The sequence below is a fragment of the Homo sapiens genome, chromosome 17, assembly GCF_000001405.40.
Source record: "Homo sapiens chromosome 17, GRCh38.p14 Primary Assembly".
Taxonomy (NCBI): Eukaryota; Metazoa; Chordata; class Mammalia; order Primates; family Hominidae; genus Homo; species Homo sapiens.
Window position 1 is genome coordinate 67,034,485 of NC_000017.11, and position 23,631 is coordinate 67,058,115.

General features: G+C 50.2%; 1 protein-coding gene across 1 annotated transcript, besides 5 other annotated features; it reads left to right on the plus strand.

Annotated features, from left to right (window-relative positions):
* Positions 990-1,319: an enhancer, noted in NCBI's record as "active region_12618". NCBI's record gives its function as "activates an Ori minimal core promoter by ATAC-STARR-seq in GM12878 lymphoblastoid cells {active_cell/tissue: GM12878}" and the evidence as "EXISTENCE:reporter gene assay evidence [ECO:0000049][PMID:35858748]".
* On the plus strand, positions 10,070-22,313 carry CACNG1 (calcium voltage-gated channel auxiliary subunit gamma 1). The gene is made up of 4 exons (NM_000727.4): positions 10,070-10,405; positions 19,512-19,586; positions 20,619-20,756; positions 21,561-22,313. Exons 1-4 carry the CDS (start codon positions 10,177-10,179, stop codon positions 21,785-21,787), a joined length of 669 nt encoding a protein of 222 aa, NP_000718.1. The 5' UTR covers positions 10,070-10,176; the 3' UTR covers positions 21,788-22,313.
* Positions 14,640-14,840: a silencer, noted in NCBI's record as "peak2948 fragment used in MPRA reporter construct". NCBI's record gives its function as "represses an SCP1 promoter by STARR-seq MPRAs in K562 erythroleukemia cells {active_cell/tissue: K562}" and the evidence as "EXISTENCE:reporter gene assay evidence [ECO:0000049][PMID:32103011]".
* Positions 17,239-17,368: an enhancer, noted in NCBI's record as "active region_12619". NCBI's record gives its function as "activates an Ori minimal core promoter by ATAC-STARR-seq in GM12878 lymphoblastoid cells {active_cell/tissue: GM12878}" and the evidence as "EXISTENCE:reporter gene assay evidence [ECO:0000049][PMID:35858748]".
* Positions 17,439-17,518: an enhancer, noted in NCBI's record as "active region_12620". NCBI's record gives its function as "activates an Ori minimal core promoter by ATAC-STARR-seq in GM12878 lymphoblastoid cells {active_cell/tissue: GM12878}" and the evidence as "EXISTENCE:reporter gene assay evidence [ECO:0000049][PMID:35858748]".
* Positions 18,723-19,567: an enhancer, noted in NCBI's record as "H3K4me1 hESC enhancer chr17:65049323-65050167 (GRCh37/hg19 assembly coordinates)". NCBI's record gives its function as "activates a minimal SCP1, AML or CMV promoter by ChIP-STARR-seq in primed H9 embryonic stem cells {active_cell/tissue: H9 hESC(primed)}" and the evidence as "EXISTENCE:reporter gene assay evidence [ECO:0000049][PMID:30033119]".
* Positions 22,314-23,631: the final 1,318 nt, after the last annotated feature.

Sequence of the window (23,631 nt, forward strand, 5' to 3'; positions counted from 1 at the left end):
TGACCACAGTCTCCAATGCTCCCGATTCCTCCATGCCCTCTCCACCGTGACACCCATTCTTCAACCTCATCAAGCCTCCAGGTCTTGACTCCTCCATTTTCTCCCAATCTATCAATGCTTCCTGGTTTCAGGGCCATCCTAACCAGTCCAGACCATGGTGAGGCATCATTTAACCTCGCCTTTGCCAACACCTCAGTTCCCTTGGGCTCTCTTCTAGTATTTGTCTCCTAGAAGATCCCCAACCCTCTTCCAATCTCACCTCTCAAATTTTCTCCATCTCTGCACCTGAGCCTCAGGGTAACACTAGAGAAAATCAAGTGATTTGTAAATTGGTGCCTGTGGGAGGCAGAATGGTTGTCCCCTGAGATGTCCACATCCTAATCCCTGGAACCTGTGAATATGTGGCCTTACATGACAAAAAGGACTTTGAGAGTGTGATTAAATTAAGAATCTTCAGATGCTCGGATTATCCTGGATTATCTGGGTGGCCCCAGACAGAAGGACAAAGGTCCCTCTAAGGGAAAGAGGGAGGCAGGAGTGTTGGAGGAGGGCTCTGACAGAGCAGCAGAGGTCAGAGTTCTGGGACTGCTGGCTTCAAAGAAGGAAGGGGCCACAAGCTGAGGACCACTGGCAGCCTCTAGAGGGTGAGAAATCTGAGGGGTCTCCCCTGGAGCTTCCAGAAGAAACACAGCCCTGCCAACACTTTCATTTTTAGTTCAGTAGGACTTAAAACCTCCAGAACTGATATGATAATAAATTTGTATTGTTTAAGCCACTAAGTTTGAGGTAATTTGTTCCAAAAGCAAGAGCCAATGAACACAATCCCATGTGTATGCACGGGGCTGGTACTATGCTGCACCCCAGCTATCATCCTCAATGCCCTTGATATGGTTTGGCTGTGTCCCCACTCAAATGTCATCTTGAATTGTAGCTCCCATAATTCCCATGTGTCGTGGGAGGGACCAGGTGGAGATAATTGAATCATGGGGGCAGTTTCTCCCATACTGTTCTCCTGGTAGTGAATAAGTCTCATGAGATCTGATGGTTTTATACATGGGAGTTCCCCTGCACAAGTTCTCTTGCCTGCCACCACGTAAGACGTCCCTTTTCTCTTCCTTGTCTTCCACCATGATTGTGAGGCTGCCCCAGCCGTGTGGAACTGTGAGTCCATTAAATCTCTTTCCTTTATAAATTACCCAGTCTCAGGTATGTCTTTATTAGCAGCATAAGAGCAGACTAAAACAGCCCTGTCAGTGGGCACCCCGATACTCACAACAGCTATTTCAGACTCTCACTACCTCCACGAAACCCTCCACACATCATTTCCATCTCCTATTCTCAGACATTGGCCCCACTTCTGAGGTCACCAAGAAAACAGAAGCCTTTAGATGGCAATCCCCTCACCTCCCCACCGCTCCACCACCTATAGACTGGTTTCCCTCATGACTCATCTCTTGCTCGGTCCTTTCCATCCCAGTGGGGGAGGTCACCTCCCTCTTTCTGTCCATCGCCAGCCCTTTCATTTGAGGTCTGGTCATTCCCATCTCCTCCCCTAGAATCTTGCATTTCTGTCTTAAAACAGCAAATACCAGGCCGGACGCGGTGGCTCACGCCTGTAATCCCAGCACTTTGGGAGGCCAAGGTGGGTGGATCTCGAGGTCAGGAGATCGAGACCATCCTGGCTAACAAGGTGAAAACCCGTCTCTAATAAAAATACAAAAATTAGCTGGGCGTTGTGGCGGGTGTCTGTAGTCGCACCTACTTGGGAGGCTGAGGCAGGAGAATGGCTTGAACCCAGGAGGTGGAGCTTGCAGTAAGCTGAGATTGCACCACTGTACTCCAGCCTGGGCAACAGAGCGAGACTCCATCTCAAAAAAAAAAAAAAAAAAAAAAAACCACGGCAAATGCCAAACTTCCCTCATGCCTCTCCTTCCCTTCTAAGCTAAGCACTTCACAAAAAGCTCTACACGTGTTGTCTACCCTTCCTCACCTCCCATTTCACTCCTCAATTTACTGCAGTCTGCCTTGATTTTTTACCTGCCAGTTGTCAAAACCAATGGACATGTTTCAATCCTGACCTCTGTAGTGCCAGAACTTATCAGCCACTCTTGCCTTCTAGGGATGTCCTCTGCTTCTGACCTCTAAGACCCTACCCTCTTGGTTTCCTCTATTTCTCTGCCTTCTCCTTCTCTTCTCCTTTGCTGGCTTGGTTTCCATTCTGTATCCTTATATCTTAGGCCACAGAACTCCCGGATTCCACTCTTGGAGCTCCTCTCCTCTTCACCTCATCACTTCCCTTGAGTAACCTCATTCCCTCTCACTATTACAACTACCACCAAGTCCATATGTCTAACTCAGATCCTTCCCCAAGCTCCAGATCTCCTCCTGGTGTGTCTGTGGTAGACTGCCCTTGTCTCCCAAAATCTGTTCTCCCCTCTTCCATGGTAATAGAGAGCTTTAGCTTGCTAAATGGCCACCCAGCTAATCTCCGGGGCCCTTGGAGATGGTCAGAGGTATAAGTTCTCAACAATTTAAGTGTTTTGTGCAACCAGTGTGTCCACTGCTTATAAGGAAATTGTTTGGTTTGAACTCCCACTCTTTCCCCCTTCTTGTGGTCTGGAGCTGCCATGTCAGTGACCCTGGCCTTGCACACAAGGACGATACCCCAGAGCATGGTGGAGCAACAAGACAGAAAGCAGCCATGTTCCGTTAATGACTGGATGGAGACAATTACCCTGCCAGCCACACTGCTTGAAAGAGAGGAATGCCATGCTTCTGCCCGGTTAAGCCACTGCCTTTGGGGGTCTCACTGTGATAGAAGCATGGCTTGTATCTAATGAATACAGTACCTGAGCCTGAACCCATCTCCTGAACACTCAGTCTTTTCTCCTCCAGCTCATCTCGTCTGTCAGTAGCGTCACTGTCCACCCAGGCCTCTGAGTCTGAAATCCCAACTCCTTCCTTCCATGTTTAGTCTCTCACCAAATCCCTTTGGGTCTCCCACCTGTGGGTCCTCCCAGTAGACCCCTTCCTGCTTTGGTTCCTACTGCCATCTCTATCTTCATTCAGGCTTTTGTTATTTCCATCTCAACCCCTTCTATTGCCTGCATTGCTGCTGGTCCAGAGTATTAGTCCATTTTCACACTGCTATAAAGATACTACCTGAGACGGGGTAATTTATAAAGGAAAGAGGTTTAATTGACTCACAATTCCACATGGCTGGGAAGGCCTCAGGAAACTTACAGTCATGGCAGAAGGCAAAGGAGAAGCAAGTACTCTCTTCACAAGGCAGCAGGAAAGAGAGAGAGAGGAGGAGGAAGCGCCAGACACTTATCAAACAACCAGATCCCATGAGAACTTCCTCACTATCACGAGAACAGCATGAGGGAAAACCATGATCCAATCACCTCCCACCATGTGAGGATTACATGTGGGGATTACAATTTGGATTAACATATGGGGATTACAATTTGGATTACAATTCAAGATGAGATTTGGGTGGGGACTCAGTCAAATCATATCATCCAGGTAGTTGTAGACATATCAATGCTCTGTTTAAAACCCCTCTGCACGCTGGTCACCGTGGCTCACGCTGTAATCCCAGCACTTTGGCAGGCCGAGGTGGGTGGATTGCTCAAGGCCAGGAGTTTGAGACCAGCCTGGCCAACATGGCAAAACCCCATCTCTACCAAAAAAAAAAAAACAAAAATTAGCTGGGCATGGTGGCAGGCACCCGTAGTCCTGGCTGAGATGGGAGAATTGCTTGAACTTGGGAGGCAGAGGTTGCAGTGAGTCAAGATCGCCTCCTGCACTTCAGACTGGGTGACAGAGTGAAACCCTGTCTCAAAAAACAAAAACAAAAACAAAAACAAAACAAAACAAAAAAACCCATTCTGCAGCTCCAGATACTCTTAGACAAAAGTACACTATTTTCTGACATGGTTTGTTGGGCTCTGCAAGGTCTGATCCCTACCCATCTCTCCAGCCCTGTCTCTCTGTCCCCCCCCTTGCCTCCCTTCACCTGCCCAGACCTAACCACTTATGCAGGTTAGAGTCTGGACCTCTCCTCCCCACAACCTCCACACCTGCTCTTTCCCTGCCAGCTGGTCCTTCCTTCCTCCGTCCTTACCCCACTCAGCCTCCATTTCACCCATGAGGTCTCCTGACTACCCCCTCCAGTGTCACTGTCCCTACCCTAGTGGGCCAGGGGTCCCCAAGGCTGCCCTCAAGTGGTCTTAATGATTCACTAGGAGGACTCACAGAACTCAGAAAAGCTGTTATACTCATGGTTACAGTTTACTGCAGAAAGAATCCAGATTAAAATCAGCACAAGAAAGGGGTGCAGAGGGCAGAGTTCAAGAGAGACCAGGCGTGAGCGTTCAGTCGTCTCCCCCAAGGGAGTGGAACAGACTTCATTCTCCCAGCAGTGCTGTGTGACAACATGCACAAAGTATCGCCAGCCAGGGAAGCTCATCTGAGGTGAGACTTGGTGTTCAGGTTTTTTATTGAGGGGCGGTGCCTATGTGACTGACCTTAGCTACTCAGTATTCAGTCCCCCATCCCAGAGGTCAAACTATCTGAGGTGGTCCAGGGCCCTTACCATCAATCACATTGTTAGCCTAAACTATCTGGTGCGGTCCAAGACTCCAGCTAGGTGAAAATACTCTTATCAGGTAGAGTATTCCAAGGGCATAGAGGTTATCTCCCAGGAGCCAGTTAAGGGCCAGTTCTTTCTTTGGAATGTGTAGGGTTTGGACAACCCAGGCCTGCTGAGTTAACCCTTCACTGAACACCAATGTTCCCAGCATGCCCTCTGCTATCCATCAGAGCAGACTCATGTTAGTTGATGCCTGACTCTCCCACCAGACTGTGGGCTCCTAGAGGGCAGACTCAATGTCTTATTCACATTCTAATAGCCCTACAGTGATGAGTAAGTGTTTAATGAATGAATGAATGACAACAACAGTCACAAAATAATATTTCCCTAGCTCCATCACTACCCATTCTGCAGGAACCACTGTCATCATCAGATTTCTCCAGAAGCATTCCCAGAGTGAGAGCAGTGAGGCGGACAGTCAATGGGGATTTGCATGTTCTCATCAAACTTCTATTCTCTTGGCTAGAAAATCATCATCATTATCTTTTGACTCTGACCTGCTCAATAAGATGTTTCCTGCTGCTGCCCAAGCCATGGGCACCAACACTGCAGGTGCCCAGCCCTCTCAGAGTCCCATGAAGCTTCTTGTGAAGTAACATACATCACAGTCTTCATGTGCGTGTTACATGTGCACACATGCATTACCGCATTTAATTCTCGCTATAACCCTACAAGGTAGTTATGATCCTCCCTTCTTTGTGAGCAAGAAACAGGCTCAGAAAGGTGACCCATCTCTCACAAGGCACACACACAGTCAACAGCAAAGCTGGGGCTCCAGGCTATGACTGTCACTTCCAGAAAGGATATGCGCTTTCCCTAACAGCTGCGTGCTCCACACAGCAGCCACCCCGGGACACTGGCATGATGCTTACCACATCCTAGGCACCACCTGTACAATTACTTGCTTCATCTTTTTCTTTAAATTGTCACTTTTAATTTGACCTTGGCCTAAAGAAATTATATTAATAATATAACTCAGATCCTCATGAAAAGAAATATGAAAATCTTTAGGCCAGGCATGGTGGCTCACACCTGTAATTGCAGCACTTTGGGAGGCCGAGGCGGATGGATCACTTGAGGTCAGGAATTTGAGACCAGCCTGGCCAACATGGTGACACCCTGTCTCTACTAAAAATACAGAAATTAGCTGGGCATGATAGCACATGCCTATAATTCCAGCTACTTGAGAAGCTGAGGCAGGAGAATTGCTTGAACCCTGGAGGCGGAGATTGCAGTGAGCTGCGATCACACCACTGCACTCCAGCCTGGGTGACAGAGGGAGACTGCATCTCAAAAAAAGAAACATAAAAGTCTTTAAATCACGGGCTGCCTGCTCTCCTCCTGCAGGGGTGTACAGGGCGCACTTTGAGAACCCCAGCTGCGGGCTCAAGTCTCCCGAGGGGCCCATGTCCTGCCTGGAGCTCCTATTCTCCACACCTCTCCACGTAGGCTGAGTTCTGTCCCAGGAGACCCCACAGCCCCTCCCAGTATGATCTCAGCTGCCCTAACAGTTTGTGGACTCCTCAAGGGGAGGGAGTGGGTCTTCTGCTTGGCAGGACAGAAATCCCAGCGTGGGCCTTATTGTGCCCCAACTTAACTATGGCCCAAGCCCTGGCTGGCCTGTATGTTCTGGAGTCCTCAGGAGGGTCCTGGATCAATGGGGAGGGAAATGGCCACCGTGGCAGGGCAGCCAGAAAAAGCTGCCAGAAGTGGAGGCTAGCAGAGGGGGGTTGCGAAACAAAGGGAGTTGGACTGGTGCAGATAGGATAAAAACATCTCAGGGGTACAAGTAAGCATCAACATCTGGAGAACAGAACAGGAAAGAGCCCCCCAAATTTCCCACAACACTGTGAGTACCAGGCATCCAGGGCGATTGATTTCTTACCATTACGTCCTTCGCTGAATCAAGTACTCAGTACTCTATTAAATGCATGACGGCCACTCTCTGGTCTCCTCTTATGAGAACACTGCTACAGTTGGGCTCTGTGTCCCCATCCAAATCTCACCTTGAATTGTAATAATTCTGTGTCATGGGAAGGACCCAGTAGGAGGTAATTGAATCATGAGGGTGAGTCTTTCCTCTGCTATTCTCACGATAGTGAATAAATCTCACAAGATCTGATGGTTTTATAAAGGGCAGTTCCCTGCACGTGCTCTCTTGCCTAACGCCATGTAAGACGTGCCTTTGCTCCTTCTTCACCTTCCGCCATGATTGTGAGGCCTCCCCAGCCATGTGGAACTGTGAGTCCATTCAACCTCTTTCCTTTATAAATTACCAGTCTTGGGCATGTCTTTATTAGCAGTGTGAGAACAGACTAATACAGACACTGCTCCCATCACAAGGGCCCCACTTCCATGAGCTCATTTCATTATCTCCCAAAGATCCCACCTCTACACACCATCACACTGGGGGTTAGGCTTCAACATATGAACTTGGGGGAAACATGATTCAGCCCATAGCGCCTACTATGGCTAAGCTGGTCCAACGCACTCCCTCCAGCCCTTCCACCTGCTCCGCAGCCAGGCCCGTTGCCTTCATTTTACAAGAGGCAGCTTAGAAAGGCTAATGACTTACTGGAACGTGCACAGCTGGAGCCAAGCAGTGCAGGGATTTGCTCGGGGCTGGCCAGCTCCATCACCCTCTAGCTTGGTCCCCCTCTCGCATGCTGCCTCCCTGAGATGCTCCTCTCCCTGTTGCCCTGGAAAGGGTGAGATCTTGGGGGAGGACATGGATGTTGCCCTGCCCAACTTTCAGCAAATGCCTGTGGCTACTGAAGTCCCTTCCTGGCCCTTCCAGGCCCCTGGGGAACCAGGCAGGCAGCGCGGCAGCACCTCTGTGAGCAGAAAAGGTGTATTTGAGGGAGCTTTCAGTAAACAGGGAAGAGAAAGTGGACCTGCCCGCAGTAGCTGCAGCTGCGGGTCTCCTGGTGCGACTTACACAAAGATGACTTCAAAAGGCAGAGGCCATCAATCTTTAATGCTTTCACTGCACTGGGGCGGAGGACTCTGGACCCCTGCATGGGGCACAAACCTGCCCCCCATGGAGGGAAAGAGCAGCAGAAGTTCCTGGTTGCTGTCCTCACCAAGGCCTGGCATCTTTGAAGGGCCTGCAATGTCATCATGGCTGGCGCTGGGTGCACCCTCTGGGCTGGGCCCTTTCAGGGTGCTTTCCAAGGCCGTCAGAGGCTCTTGGCACCGAAGAGCTTAGGGCATCCACCCCCACCACACCAGGAAATTCAAAAGACACTTTCATTTTTCCAATGACACTGTATTTACTTGTAATGCTAAAATTAAATAGCTTCTTTCTAGATTTTCTGTCTTAAAACACTGGAACCCTCTTCTGGCTCCCCAGCTACTGCTTTGCTGGGTGCCTGGCACTCAGTAGGTCTAATCAAGCTGTACAGCACCTCCTGAGATCCCCAGGTGCCAGGATCCTGAAGCTGGGCCCCCACAAACAACAAGAGAGGGCTCAGAGGCTGCAGCCATGTCCCAGCTTCTGGGAATTCCCCATGGAGATGGTCTACCCACCTGGTGACAGGCAGTTTCTCCACGAGCTGAAGCAGGGGCGGTGGCATATGTCAACAGTCAGTCAGTGATCAGTCAGTTGTGATGGATTAGCACCCACAGGGAACACAGAGGTGGGGGGACAGGGAGGAAGGGAAGCAGAGATGAGAACAGTGGGGAGATAAGCTCTCAGGAGATTGTAATATGTATGAGAGACTGATTTTAAAAATATGGAAGTTTGGATGGAACTGCAATAAGCACAAGCCAGTGGCTGGAGATGCGAGGGTTCAGCTCAGCCCTGGGGCTGTTCACCAGGTAGTCCTGGCTCCTCACATCTCCTCTCTGGGCTGCAGATTCCTAATCTGTCACAATAGATCATGAAGTTTCTTCCCAGTTCCAACCATTCGTTATGACTTTGGGCTCTGGGTCCTGAAACCTGGATTCCTCATTTTCTCGCTGTGTGACCTTGGACAAGTGACTTCATGTCTCTGAGCTTCCATGTCCTTGTCTGTGAAATGGCAGTAACCGTTGTAGTCCCCTTGTGGATTGGTGTGAAGAGTAACTGTGACAATGGATGAAGGCTTAGCAGGGTACCTGGTAGATAGTAAGCACTCACTGAAGATGAGCCACTGTTCTGATTATCATCATCATGAACTTTCTGTGATTCTAAGGCTGGAGGCCGAAACATTTCTGTCCACATGGGCAGAGTCTCTGTAAATCGTGTCAATCTGAGGCCAGGATTTTGAAGCTCAAGGCCCCACCCAGCTCAGGAGGCTATTCCTGGTCATGCGTCAGCCTCTCGGCTACACCCAAAAAGGGCCACCCTGTGAGCCGAGAAGGAAGAGATGACACAACCCAGGAGAGATGTAGAGGCTGGAGCCTCGGAGACCAGCCTGGGGGCCAGGCGGGTGCACAGGACCGTCGGAGGGTGGTCGATCCCGGGCTTTCTGTGTTCTCTGCACGCCCATGAGCTCCTAATGATCCCCTATAAATCAACCTATTCATTCTTTTTTACTCACACACTTATTTTTCAAATTCAAACATAACTGGAAAGTCGTTATCACCTGCTGTTAATAGAAGGCAAAACCAAACAGTGCCCTGAAAAACAGAATGACCAAGTCCAGCAGGATTCCTCGTCCTCTTCGGGCCGTTCTCGCTTTGTTTCAAAGGACACTTTACAGGCAATAATGACACTGACCTCGAACAGAGCTTTGCTCTGGACCCAGTTTTGGGGATGGAAAGAGAATTGAAAAGGAAGTAATGTTCTCGTGGAGGGATCAGAGTTGGGTAAGGCCAGACCTGGGAACCACCTAAAACCTTCCTATGGTTTGGGGGATGCCGTGGGGTTTGTGGCTAAAACGCTTGCCTAAGAGGTGGACTCCACAGGCCCTGGACTGGGTTCCCGGGATGTCATTAGACAGAATCCTAGCCCCTCAGATCCCAGGATGAGAACCTACTCACTGCCCTGCCGGTAACAGGCTTACCCCGTGGGAGCCCGGGACAGCCGTGCAGCCCGCAGCTCCTGGTCTCCTCCCCTGGCCTGGGCTGCCCTTTCCCATCAGCCCAGAGCAGGCAGATCCCCACCCCCGGGGCCCTGCTGCCCACCTCTCGCCCTCTCCCAACTCAGGCACCCTGAGCTGCTACTCACAGAGGCCTCAATCTACCATCCAGAGCCTTCTCTCCTTGCCACCCTGCCCCGCCGCACTGGGGTATTTCTGGCTCCCAGAGGGGCAGAAAACCCTGAAACCCGAGCAGAAGCTGTCCTCGGTGCCACGCCTGGAGATGGGCATTAATAGCAGCCTCCCTCAGGCCCCTGACGCGTCTGGGCAGCTGCTCAGCACGTCCCGCGTCCCTCGGCCCCAAGGCCAGCCCACTCTGGCTCAGCCAGGCACACTAAACTTAGTGGCCACTCCCAGCTCGACAACCACTGCCACCCCCCAAGCTCGGCTTGTCACCTGCCCTAGGAGACGCAGCCGCCGGACCCTGCCCAGGGCACCCACGCCTCGGCGACCACCATGTCCCAGACCAAAATGCTGAAGGTCCGCGTGACCCTCTTCTGCATCCTGGCAGGCATCGTGCTGGCCATGACAGCCGTGGTAACCGACCACTGGGCTGTGCTGAGCCCCCACATGGAGCACCACAACACTACCTGCGAGGCGGCCCACTTCGGCCTCTGGCGGATTTGTACCAAGCGCATCCCCATGGACGACAGCAAGACCTGCGGGCCCATCACCCTGCCCGGGGGTAACGTACCCACCCTCCGTCCCGATCCCCACCTCCTGCTCTTCCCCGTCATCCCCCTGGCAAAGTTGCCCTTGCGAAGGAAGGCAGGTTTCTCTGCCTAGAAATAGGGCAGCCGCCCAGCCTTTTCTGCCCAGGGAAGAAGATATGAATTGCATGTGTGGTGCTGGTGGCTGGGGCTGGGTTGTAAGACGAGGGCGTTTGTCCCAGCTATTTCTGTCTGGCTGGACCTTGGGGCTTTTTGCCCAGAGCAGAGAGCTGGGCAGGCTCAAGAAAGGAACTGCAGCTCTACCAGCCCAGGGACTTCTGGGCCCCACCTGCTCACTCTCTCCCTGCAAAGAAAAGCTAGGTGGCTCTGTGTCCTCAGGCTAGGGGGACCCATGGGGCTGGCAGGTTTGTTCCTGGCCTCAAGGCAGGAGAGGAGAGAGCATAGGCGATGGAATTTGCAGGGTCCTGTGCAGAATGAAAATGCAGGGTTCCTTGCTCCAAATTACCAAGGATTTCAAGGCAGTGACAGCAGCACATGAAACCACACATGGGCCCTTGTGGGCTCTGGGCCTGGAGCAGCTGCACAGGTTGAATGTCTGTGAAGCAGGACATGGCTGTAGGCTGTAGGTGAGCCACCTGCCCCCACCTTCTTTTTTTTTTTTTTTTTTTTTTTGAGACAACTTTGTCGCTCAGGCTGGAGTGCAGTGGCATGATCTTGGCTCCCTGCAACTTCTGCCTCCTGGACTCAAGCGATTCTCCTGCCTCAGCTTCCCCAGTAGCTGGGATTACAGGCATGCACCACCACACCCATCTAATTTTTGTACTTTCAGTAGAGACGGGGTTTCACCATGTTGGTCAGGCTGGTCTCGAACTCCTGACCTCAGGTGATCCACCTGCCTTGGCCTCCCAGAGTGCTGGGATTACAGACGTGAGCCACCATGCCCGACCTCCACCTGTCCTTTTGTCAGGACTTCAGTCCTCTATGCATCCTGTCTTAGCTCAGACCCTGTCAGAGTTACAAAGCATTTCCTCACCCTGTAATTTAAGCGTATTCCTCGATTTCCTACCGTGTGACCGAACCACACGTTGAAGGTAAGGTCCTTTTCAGGAGTACCTGGTAGTCGCGTGACTAGCCTCTATTCTGCAAATGCAGAGGCTTCTGGATTCTTAGCAAATACAGCACTTTAGAGGAAAGAGTGCTCATGGAGACCAGGCAGCCAGGGATCTAATCGCCATTGCCCACTACCCTCAAATGACCATCCAGGGAGGACAAAGCTCATCTCAGCCTCTGCTTCTTCCTCTATAAAATATGGGACTGACTCTCAGCAACGTGAGATCCCTTCCTCGGCTTACAGACGCCCATCCACAGTGGCAGTGGAGCAGAGTGATGTCAGTGTGATGTCCCACCTGGTTTTCAGGATTATTTCCTCTTTTATCAGACTAGGTGTTCCTTGAAACCTGTCCTTCAAGGACACTAGGGCTAAGTCCCCAAAGATCTTGCAGTCTGCTTGTGAGGCAAAGAGCACAGACCCCATCCTCCCTTGTCTCTGCTCCCTCTTCCTTCCCTCCTGCTTGCTCCAGAGATCCCCTCCCTTGTTCAGCCCCACTGGAGGCCCAGAAGACTCATAAGTGCCCAGCTGTTGTAGAAACACCAAGTCCCAGGGCTGAGAGTGACAGGTGTGGCCATGTGCTTGCAGGGTATCGCATAGCCCGGATGCCCATGCCCCTTGGCCACTGCTGAGCACACCCATAAACAGGAACAGCCTCCAGCCAACTCCCCTGGGCAGGGCAGGGCAGGGCAGGGCAGGGCAAGGCAGCTTCTTCAGGGACCACACATGGGGACGTGCTGTTACAGTCCTGTTCACCCGTCCTTGGAACCATCTGCCTTTTAAAGTCAGAGCAGAAGACTGGGCAGTGAGCAGAATCCACACAAGGAAGAGACAGGCTGGTGAGAGGTGACTGGACCAATTGCAGGGGGCCAACAGGCATTGCTTGGCCTTGAGCCTGACAGGATCTACCTCTTTGCCTTCTTAGCCTAACCAGCTATGAACCACACCTCCCACACTTGTGACACTGAGCACTACCTTTCCCCCAGTAATCTTCCAAAATATGTTCCTGCCTTTTTCCCTCTCTTTTCTCTGCAAATGGACATCTTTCTCCTTCCCCATCTGCCCTTCTTGTGCTCCCTGGGACCACTCTTCTCTGGAGGGAGGAAGTGGGTTCATATGTGGCCCGTCATCTATTATTAACAACAATAATAATAATGGCACATACATGTAGCCCTGTGTGCCAAATATTGTTGTAAACGCTTTACATATATTAACTTTGAAAGACATCAGGAAAAAAAATGATAGAAAAAGAACCTCCAAAAATAATCTTCTCCATAATAGTAATGAGAAGGCTGGCAGAAATGGTCAGAATCAACATTTTCAGAACTCTGGAAATTAACCAAAGTCTTGCAGCAATCCAGCAAGAAAAATGGGTGAATCTCAGGAGGACCAGTGAGTTCTGTGGTGTTTTAACTTGCCTTATTCCTGTTTCCCTTTCCCAGCTCTGTGGTAACCTTGCAAACCAACATTCCGTAATCACAGTGAAAATCAGCATCCCAGTAGCCTCTGGAGGGGAGAGAATGGGGTTGGATCAAAGGCCCATTCCCAGAGAGTTGTCATTATTTGACCTGTCTGGTGATTCCCTGAAAACCCCCACTTGAGAAGCTGTTTCTGTTTGACCTGACTCTGAGCTCATCCAGTGCAAATAGTCTTTCTCCCTGGGGATGTTTGTTGAAAATAATTAGAGATGATTGATTAACATCATGGCTGTCTGAGGCAGTAGATAACAGTTAGGGAAAACAACAGGCTAACCAAAAAACTGGAGACTGAAATGTCCATAAGTTGCTTTGAAAAGCTCCAACATATTCCTGGGAATCTAGGAGGCCACATGCATGCACAATGCTATATGCATGCTCAGGAAAGACCTGAGAAGGCCCTAAGCACTCTCTGCCTTATCTTGAGACTCTGTTCAAGCAGGAAGTGAAGGCTAAGGCAGAGATGTGGGTGGCTTAGCTGAGCATGAAAGTCATATGCACAGAGCCCCTCAGTAAAGACTGGGAGAGGCATTGTTGCCAAGCGTTTTAGGAAATTTATAATTGGTCACTAAGCTAATTGAACAGGGATCTCAGTGATCACACATGACAAAAAACACATACTTTACCATCTTAGTTCAAAAAAGTCACTAAACAAACAACGGGAACAAATCTTCAAGAAGGGGGAACAACTGATTTCCAGAGTTGCCACATTATATTGTTTAAAAAATACTGGCTGGGTGTGGTGGCTCACTCCTGTATTCCCAGCACTTTTGGAGGCCAAGTGAGAGGACTGCTTGAGGCCAGGGGTTTGAGATCAACCTGGGCAATATAGCAAGACCCTGTCCCTACCAAAAAAAAAAAAAAAAACAAAAAAAAAACCCCACAAAATATCCAGGAGTGGTGGCATGTGCCTGTAATTCTAGCTACTCCCAAGGCTTAGGTGAGGGAATTGTTTGATCCCAGGAGTTAGAGACTACAGTGAACTATGATCATGCCACTGCACTCCAGCCTGGGTGACAGAGCAAGACTCTGTCTCTAAATAAATAAATACATACATAAATAATACAAGACACACAAAGAACTAAAATGATAAGGGGCATACATGGGGCAGGGAGAAGTCAATAGATCTGTAAGGAAGCCAGATATTGGACTTACTAGACAAAAACTTTAAATCAGCTATAGTAAATATATCCAAAGAAAAAACAATCAAAACAATTAAAGATGAAAATGATGCCTCATGAAATAGAAACTATCAATTAAGACACAGAAATTATTTTTAAGGACAAAATAGAAATTCTGGAGTTGAAAAGTACAATAACTAAAATGAGAAATTCACTAGAGGGGCTCAATGGCATATCTGAGCAGGCAAAAGAATCAGTGACCTTTAAGATAAGTCAGTTGAGATTAGCCAGTCTGAGGAACAGACAGATAAAAAGAATAAAGAAAAATGACGAGAGCCTCGGAGACTTATGGGACACCATCAAGTTTATGTAAAGGGAGTCCCAGAAGGAGAGGGAAAGAGAGAAAGGAGCAAAAAAGGTATGTGAAAAATAATGTCCAAAAGCTTCCCAAATTGGATGAAAAACGTTAAAAATCGACAAATTTATGAAGCTTAATGAACTCCAGGTAGAATAAACTCTAAGGGATCCACATCTAGACACATGATAATCAAACTGTTGAAAGATAGAGACAGAGAATCTTAAAAACGGAAAGAAACAACTCACCACATATGAGGAATCCTTAATAAGATGAACAGCCAATTTTTCCCCAAATCTATGGAGGCCAGAAGGTGGTGGGATGACATACATATATTAGCTCACCTAATCCTCACAGAAACCTCCGTGAAGGCCATGCTATTATCATCATCCCAATCTTACAGATAAAGAAAATCAACCACTGAGAGTTGAGATATTTGACAAGGTAACACAGGTGATGAGCAGAGCAGCCAGGACTCACACTCAGACCCTAACATTCACCGTTTTAGTCAATACATTAACTACTTTACAACAACCCAGTGAGTGGGTTCTTATTCTACAGGTGGTTCTTATTCTACAGGTGGGTCTCATTCTACAGGTGGTTCTCATTCTACAGGTGGTTCCTATTCTACAGGTGGTTCTCATTCTACAGGTGGGTCTCATTCTACAGGTAGGAACAGGGAGGCTGAGCATAGCCTTCCCCAGGCTAACCAGCTAACAAATAGAGGTTCTCCACTCAAGTCTTGAATCCAGAGCCTCCTTTCCCTCCAGTTCCTTCTCACACCCTCTATTGTGCATGAAAACACAGCTCCTAAAAGCTCTGACCCAAGTGAACACAAGGAGTCCAGCTTTTGACATGGCATAGTTTGAGGGCAGCTGGACCAGAAGCTGGTGCAGTGGAGCAGACTTCTCAAGGTCCCACTTAGTCTTAAAATGTTGGAGGCTCAGTGGGCAAGAGTTGTCTAATTTTTCCAAATTAGACAGTCTTAGACTCCAAACAGTCTTAGAAGGACTTCCATGTACAAGATCAACATCCAAGACCAATTCCAATGCCTCCAGAATGAGAGTAGGAGCCTCTCCCAAAGGAGAGACTATGTGTTCTGAAAGTCCAAATGAACCCGCAAAGAGGCCATCCCCTGCCCTTGGGCTGGGTGAAGTGCTGCTTCTTTCAGACTCTGCCTCTTTAGGGCAAGGAGGCAGGTTGCCCCAGGGCCCACTTTGCCTAGTGCCCCATTTTCCCTACTGGTCCATCTTCTCTCAGTGCGGGAACTGGGATTGTATAAAAGAGCATGATACTACTGACCCCAGGAATTTCATGGGCTCACTTCACCACCCACAGAAGTCCATGCCAGAGGCCTAGGCCAAAGCCAGGCTTCTCCCATGGAAGAGCAGTGCTCTGAAGCTCTAGGGTCAGGTCTTGGAGATTTCCAGCCCATTTTATAAAATTCTTCAATCAGAGATGTGGAAGGAGACACAGCCCAGAGAAACCACTGTTGGGAGCTGATAGAACTTCTTTTACCAAAAGGCTAAAAACAACACTGACATCAATGCAAGTTAGAGGCTTCCTTGCACCCCTAAAGTACCAGTTTCTTTGGTTTTGGACAAATCCACAAAGTATCTTTGAATATATGAAAGTCTCCATGGACAGTCACTTGGCACACTGATACATTCTCAGTGATAACCCAAGGCATCCACTAATCCTGCCAGCTGTTCCAACTATCAAAGAAAGATCCCTATTAACTCAAGTTCAGCTTGGAGCTAAATGTGGCTTCTGCTCTAATTCTTTGAAACTGGCACACTACACATGGTTCTGCACAGTTACTGATGCCCTTAACCAGAACACTGGGTTAGCCAGACTATTCCATCCCCCAGTCAAGTCTGAGAGCTGAGTTCACCATATTTTTAATAAATAACCCATTTAATATTTTTAAACCGCTGAGTCTTACAGAAATAAGGAGATTAAAATCAGCATAAGCCATCTGCAGAGACAAAGGAGAATGGCACGACCTCAGAGTTCCTAACACCCCAGATCATCATCCTGGCATTGGAATCTTTGCTGACTTAGTCGGAAGCAAAGCTGCAATCCCTGAGCTTTGTGTAAGTGTGATGGAAGCCAGGGCAGCGGGGCAGAGAGGGGCATCCCAGAGGCAGAGGCAGGAAGACTGAGAGTCTGCACAGGACCGTCACGGTCCCTCTCCTCTTGACCCATGACTAAGATGGGTCCACCTCGGATGTCCTTCCTCTTTACGTTGCCCTGGATGCTCAGTTTCCCAAATAATATCCACCTAGACCCAGGAACAGGGCAGGGAGGGAAGGGGCTCATAGTAGGGTCTGTCCATCTGAACAGGACCCTGCACCCTCTTGAGTAACATGGGCAGATGCCTGGCCTGATTTGTCCTAAATGAGGCCTGGGTCTGACGTGCCCCCACCCCTACAGGGGCCATTAGAGACCATGAAAGGGTTTATGGTCTCCAATGGGCAGCCACATAGCCCAGGAGTGGATGTTTCTCTCAGGTTCAGGGCAGGAGACACCGGTCTTTTTCACATGCTAAGCCCAAGAAAGGGGAGAGGTCAGCCCATCAGTCCTCAGGCCCCCAGTTCAGCCATGTAAGAGTGAAGCTGAGGCTTCCTGTTACCCTGAGAAGGAATCCTACCCACTGGAGGCCCCCTCCCTCCATTTGAGGACACTTAATGGAGAAGAGGGAGGAGGAACACTGTACCTGGACCACCAAAAGAAAAGCATCCCCCCAGAAGCTCACAACCTGGCTCCTGCAGACACGTAGCCTACCCCTGTGTCTGAGTTAAGATCATTTCTATCCAAGCAGCCAGCAGCCAGGCGGAGCCTGGCGTTTATCTGGTGGGGATTTGGTGAGCCAAATGCTACCTGTGTGAGAGTCACCTCAGCAACCCACCAGGTGCAAACAGCTGTGCCCCCAGCAAGGCACTCCATGGCCCTCATCTCAGGGCCCTCCGCTGGGAAGGATTTTAACTTATGGCTTTTGAGCAGTCAGGGAGGCAGCTGACCATGAAATACACTTGAATTCAGTCAATTCTGACAACTGAAATTGGCCCTTCAAGAATGAAACAGAAACAGAAATGTTTCTTTGTCCAGAGGGAGACACATGGAGACTTATGACATAGCATGGGCCATTTTGAAGCAGTGATTCGAGAGATCTACAGCCAATAATCTAACAAATAGAAGAGATCTGCATTATGCTTTAAAATAGCACCGGATGCCCAGAGAGAATAGCAGAGCACCAATTCTGACATCACCACCAGCAGTCAGACACCCCAGGTAACGCGGTTCAAAAGGAAAGTGATTTAAATATAGAAGCACACAGAGAAGGCTGTTTATGCCAGGAATGGGTACTGCTGCTAAACCAGATCCCATCTCCAGGGGTCATTTGCTTCCTCAACCTCAGGAGAGGCAGCAGCCCTGGCTCTGGGGGGAAGGAGGGGCATGGTATGAGACCACAGGCTTAAGGTGCAAGAAGAATGATTTAGGTCCGGTTAAAGAAAGTCTTCATCCCAAAGAAAAGCCTTGGTATCACTGCAGGTACATTTCCAGAAAGAACTAGGCATCAACCGCCTTATGAGCATCTAAATGAAGCCTGGAAGTGAAGAAATGAATTGGCAAACTAGACACCATCTCAACTAGAGAAAGAGATGTTTTTCTATTTAAGGGTCACTGATCCACAGGAAAAGAAATCAATGAAGGGCCTCCACAAATAAAAAGCAAACTAATTTAGTTTTGGAAGGAAACATAATATAAAATAACCCATTCATCCACTTCCTAAATCAAGAGCAAAGAAGATAAACCGTATTTAGCAAGAAATAAGACTGTGCTTTTTTTTTTTTTGAGACAGAGTCCCACTCTGTCACCCAGGCTGGAGTGCAGTGACACGACCTCAGCTCACTGCAACCTCTGCCTCCTGGGTTGAAGCAATTCTCCTGCCTCAGCCTTCTAAAGTGCTGGGATTACAGGTGTGAGCCACCACGCCCGGCCTGTGCTTTGATTTTATAGTATACCTAGCTATGAGAGAGAGACTGAAAGAGAAAAATGGAAATGAAATTATATTTTAAATCAGCATGAATTTCCTTGTGCTGAGCCCCTCCCCTCTCCCTCATCAAATTCAGATTTGCGTTCCTACTGCCCACAGACTTTCCATAGCTTTTATGACAATTATCAGGTGGGCCAAGCGGCTTTGTGGGGGCAGGTCTCATCTGGGCTGTCTCGCAAAGACCAGGGACCCAGTGAAACCACATGATGGTCACATTCAGCCCTCGTAGGGGTTCCATCTGCATCCAGGCCATCCCAATGGCCACTCGGAAAAAGCCCTTTGCAGGGCATTTTAAGGGGCCTGGAGCAGGGTTCCCATCCTGGCTGCACATCAGGCTCTCCCAGAAAGCTTTTGAAAAACACTGTTTCCCAGGTCCCACCAATGAACCAGGGTGTGCCTGGATTCTGATGAGAAACACAGTCCCAGGTTTGGGGTTGATCCAGGGTTTCTCAACCTTGACACTCTTGATATTTTGGCCTGGATCATTCCATGTTGGGAGGACCTGTCCTGTGTGTCTTGGGATGTTCAGCAACGTCTGTGGCCTCTACCGGCTGGGTGCCAGGTGTACCCCTCTCACCACCACCATAACCCCAGGCATCGCCAAGTGTCCCCTGGGGGGGCAGAATCGGCCCCAACAGAGACTGCTGTTTGGTTCTTTGTTGATTGTGCACCCTGCACACCCTGAAAAATGGCTTGAGCCTGGGCCTCGGTTACCCTGTCTGCCTAATGGGGTGCAGAACCCACAGGCCGTCTGCCCTGCAGACTCATCCAGCCTCAGCTCCCTGAAGACCTCCCAGCCCTGCAGGCAACCTCATTATCCCACTGAGATGTTGTTCTAAGGGTCAAAGACAGATGTTTCAGCCCAGATTAAGGATCTGGGGAGAAGAGAGGCTGCCAGAGCCCCCTGCATGCCGAGCAGAATGACACCACGCTCTCTGCCAGGCCTCTGTCCTTGCTACGGGTTGCTCCCCTCAACTCACAGTCTGTCTCCTCCTTTGCAGAGAAGAACTGTTCCTACTTCAGGCATTTTAACCCCGGCGAGAGCTCGGAGATCTTCGAATTCACCACTCAGAAGGGTGAGCCTGGGTGGAAAGGGGTCTGGGGTGACAAGAGGGGACTTCTGTGTTGTGCACCACTGGGCCAGAAAGTCATTGGCAAAAGCACTGACTTCCTCACGCCTGATGAGAAGAAGCCTGTGGTGCATTTGAACAACAGCCTTGTCAGCTCCCCGCTCCGGAGGCCCCAGGCAGCCGCCTTCCATCTCCAGGGCCCGGAGCTTCCACACCTCGGGGCCAGGGAGCGTTTGCAGAAGCAGCACCTCCTGGTAGGCCCCTACACAAGGGCAGCTGTTGTGACGGGAGGTGTGGATGTGGAACAAATGCTCAGAAGCCCCGTGGTGGCTCTTGGTGGCATGTGATAGTTAGAGTCTGCAGGGACAGTCTGAGTCCCTCCCTGGCCTAGAAATCCCTCCCTGAGTACCAGGAGGGTGCGGTGGGCTCTGGGAGCTTTTCAGGATCCGCAGAGCTCAGACGCACACCCATTGTCGGGAGTACAGACCCGTGCCTGCCTGCGCCCAGACAGCTGCACACAGGGTGAGTGGGCAGACACACAGACACACACTGACACACACAGACACACACAACACAGATACACACACACGACACACACAAGACACAGACGCACAGAGACACTGACACACACGCATGATGACACACAAAATGACACACAGTGACACAGACACACACTGATACACATGCATGATGACACACAAAATGACACACAGTGACACACACAGACACACACTGACACACACGTACAATGACACAGACACAGAGACACACACTGACACACACGTACAATGACAGACACAGAGACACACACTGACACATATGCATGACACACAATGACACACACAGACACTGACACACACACAGATACACACATACAATGACACACACAAGACAGACACAGAGACACACACTTGACACACACACAATGACACACACAGACACTGACACACACACTGTGGTGCATGGTGTGGTCCCTAACGAGCCATGACAAGAGCTCCCATGCTGAGGCCGCATGCTGGGTGTCCCTTGTGTTTGCAGAGTACAGCATCTCGGCAGCCGCCATCGCCATCTTCAGCCTTGGCTTCATCATCCTGGGCAGCCTCTGTGTCCTCCTGTCCCTCGGGAAGAAGAGGGACTATCTGCTGCGACCCGCGTCCATGTTCTATGCCTTTGCAGGTAGACTGGGGGATCTGCCTGAGCGCCGGGGCCGGGGGACCATGTCGCGGGGGATTCTCCGCTCCACCCTCATGCCCACCGCGAGATTTGGGTGAGGGGCATTTCCCAGGCTCCATCCCCATCCAGGGGCAAACCTGGCCAGGCCATCAGCGACTCCAGGTGGGTTGGAGGGAGACAGAGCTTGGCGGTTTGTCCATTCCTCTCCACGACTCAACCCTCAAGGCCCCAAAGAAACTGCCCAGAGAATGATTAACAAAAGAAGGAAAGAAACGTGGTCACCTTTCTTTCTTTTTCTTGGGGGATGAGGAAGAGGGTCTCGCTCTGTCATCCAGGCTGGAGTGCAGTGGCACAATCACAGCTCACTGCAGCCTCGAACTCCTGGGTTCAAGGGTTCCTCCCGCCCCAGCCTCCTAGTAGCTGGGACTACAGACGTGCACCACCACACCTGGCTAATTTTTCATTGTATTTTAATTTTTTGTAGAGACGGAGGGCTCATCACTATGTTGCCAGGCTGGTCTCAAACTCCTGGCCTCAAGCGATCCTCCTGCCTCAGCCTCCCAAAGTGCTGGGATTACAGGTGTGAGCCACCACACCTGGCCACATGGTTGCCCTTCTGAGGGATGCAGGAATAGGGTGGTGGGTGGACAAATGGATCCTTCTGCAGGTTCCCATCTAGAACCTGCCTTGAGGCAGCTTTTCCCCCAAGGCAAGGTCACCGCCTCCTCCATGCACACAGGCTGGGATGGGGCTGGTGGCTACGGCAGACGCCCCTCGGTCCCTGAGCATGCCTGGCTCTGCCCCCAGGTCTCTGCATCCTCGTCTCGGTGGAGGTCATGCGGCAGTCGGTGAAGCGCATGATTGACAGTGAGGACACCGTCTGGATCGAGTACTATTACTCCTGGTCCTTTGCCTGCGCCTGTGCCGCCTTCATCCTCCTCTTTCTCGGCGGTCTCGCCCTCCTGCTGTTCTCCCTGCCTCGAATGCCCCGGAACCCATGGGAGTCCTGCATGGATGCTGAGCCCGAGCACTAACCCTCCTGCGGCCCTAGCGACCCTCAGGCTTCTTCCCCAGGAAGCGGGGTCTTGGCCTGGAACCTTCCAGAGAGGAGGCGGGAGCAATTTTAGCCCCACCCTGCTCCCATCTGCCCCCCTGCAACAGTCGCAGGCTGCTTCCTCTCTCTGAGTTCCTCTGGGCTGCCGCAGGCTCCCCTGGGAATAGAGCAAGACGTGAGTCCTAACCTGGCCACAGTTGGGGGAGGCAGAGCCAGCAGGTGGACAGGTGTTTGCAGGGGCCCAACTTCCCCTGGAGCTCAGAGGTGTCCCCACTGTACCAGCCTCTGATAAGCTGCCTCCAGTTGTCCTTTATGAACATTGCAGGGACAACCTGTGTTTGCCAGCTGGGTGTTCCGTGTAAATAGCCAGCCTGTCTCTTTCTCGGTGATAAAACACACCCTCTCTGGTGAGCCCAGCGTCCCCTCCTTGGCTTCCAGGAGCCCTGGGAAGCATTTTTAACTGGGTAGAATCTGACTGTGGCTTGAAATAAAAAGCTCTCAGAAAACTCATGCTTTCCTGGAGCCTTGCATAGAAATCGCTCGGATTCCCAGTCACATCAGGGGCTCCCCTGACGCCGAATGAGAAGGAAAGGCCGGTCACCCGGGTATGTTGAGGTCTTTTGTGGGGACAAGAGGGCAACGCACGTGGCTTAGAGGCTCTGAATTCCAACTCGTATCTCTAGGCCCTGAGATTGTTTTCGGGAGAAACTAGAAACCCTCTGATGAAGCAAGGGTGTTAAAAATAGGAGGGGTTATTTCTAGAGCCTGGCATGCAACGCACCTGGTGCCAACACAGCGCTAAAGCAGCCAGCCAGTGTCTGATTTCTGATGTTGGATTTTTCTTGTGAAGAACATCAGGAAGCAGGGCTTAGCAGTTAGACACTTAGGGCCACATGGAGAGCCATGATTTGCACTCTTCTGCCTTCCAAAACCCCGCAGTACTTGCCCAGGCTTCCAAAGTGGAGTTCAGACATGATCGGCAGATGGGATCCTTGCCTTGCACCCCGGAGAACCCACTGGAGTTCACGCTTCTAGGGCAGGGTTTGGCAAACTATGGCCCATAGGCCACACCTGGCCTGCCCCCTCTTGCTGTATGGCCCACAAGCAAAAGGTAGTTTTTACAGTTTTAAATTGTTAAAAAAATAAATAAAATTTTTTTTTTTTAAAAAAGGCCAAGCGTGGTGGCTCACGCCTGTAATCCCAACACTTTGGGAGGCCAACATAGGTGGATCACAAGGTCAGGAGTTCAAGACTAGCCTGGGCAAGATGATGAAACCCCATCTCTATTAAAAACACAAAAAATTAGCCGGGCATGGTGGCATGTGCCTGTAATCCCAGCTACTCGGCAGGCTGAGGCAGGAGAACTGCTTGAACCCGGGAGGCAGAGGTTGCAATGAGCCGAGATCACGCCATTGCACTCCAGCCTGGGCGACAGAGTGAGACTCCATCTCAAAAAACAAAACAAAACAAAAAAACCCCCAAAACAATCAAGGAACTGGGCATCACGGCTCACACCTGTAATTTCAGTAATTTGGAAGGCTGAGGCAAGAAGATTGTTTGAGGCCAGGAGTTTGAGACCACCCTGGGCAACACAGCAAGACTCCATCTCTATAAAAAATAAAAATAAAATAATTTACAGATAAAAAGAAGAAGAATATCTCATGACACATGAAAATGATAAGAAATTCACATCTCAATGTCTGTAAATAAAGTTAGATTAACACCAAGCCACGCCCATTCTATGGCTGCTTTCGTCACCATTGAGTAGTTTCAACAGAGATCTTCCATCCCGCAATGCTGAAAATATTTACTATCTGACCCTGT

What these genes read in the sequence shown, in the direction of transcription:
- CACNG1 (NM_000727.4), top strand. Translation starts at nt 10,177, where the DNA reads ATGTCCCAGACCAAAATGCTGAAGGTCCGCGTGACCCTCTTCTGCATC. An exon ending in CGAATTCACCACTCAGAAGG is followed by an intron (nt 19,587 to 20,618) that starts GTGAGCCTGGGT and finishes TTGTGTTTGCAG; the next exon opens with AGTACAGCATCTCGGCAGCC. An exon ending in CATGTTCTATGCCTTTGCAG is followed by an intron (nt 20,757 to 21,560) that starts GTAGACTGGGGG and finishes CTCTGCCCCCAG; the next exon opens with GTCTCTGCATCCTCGTCTCG.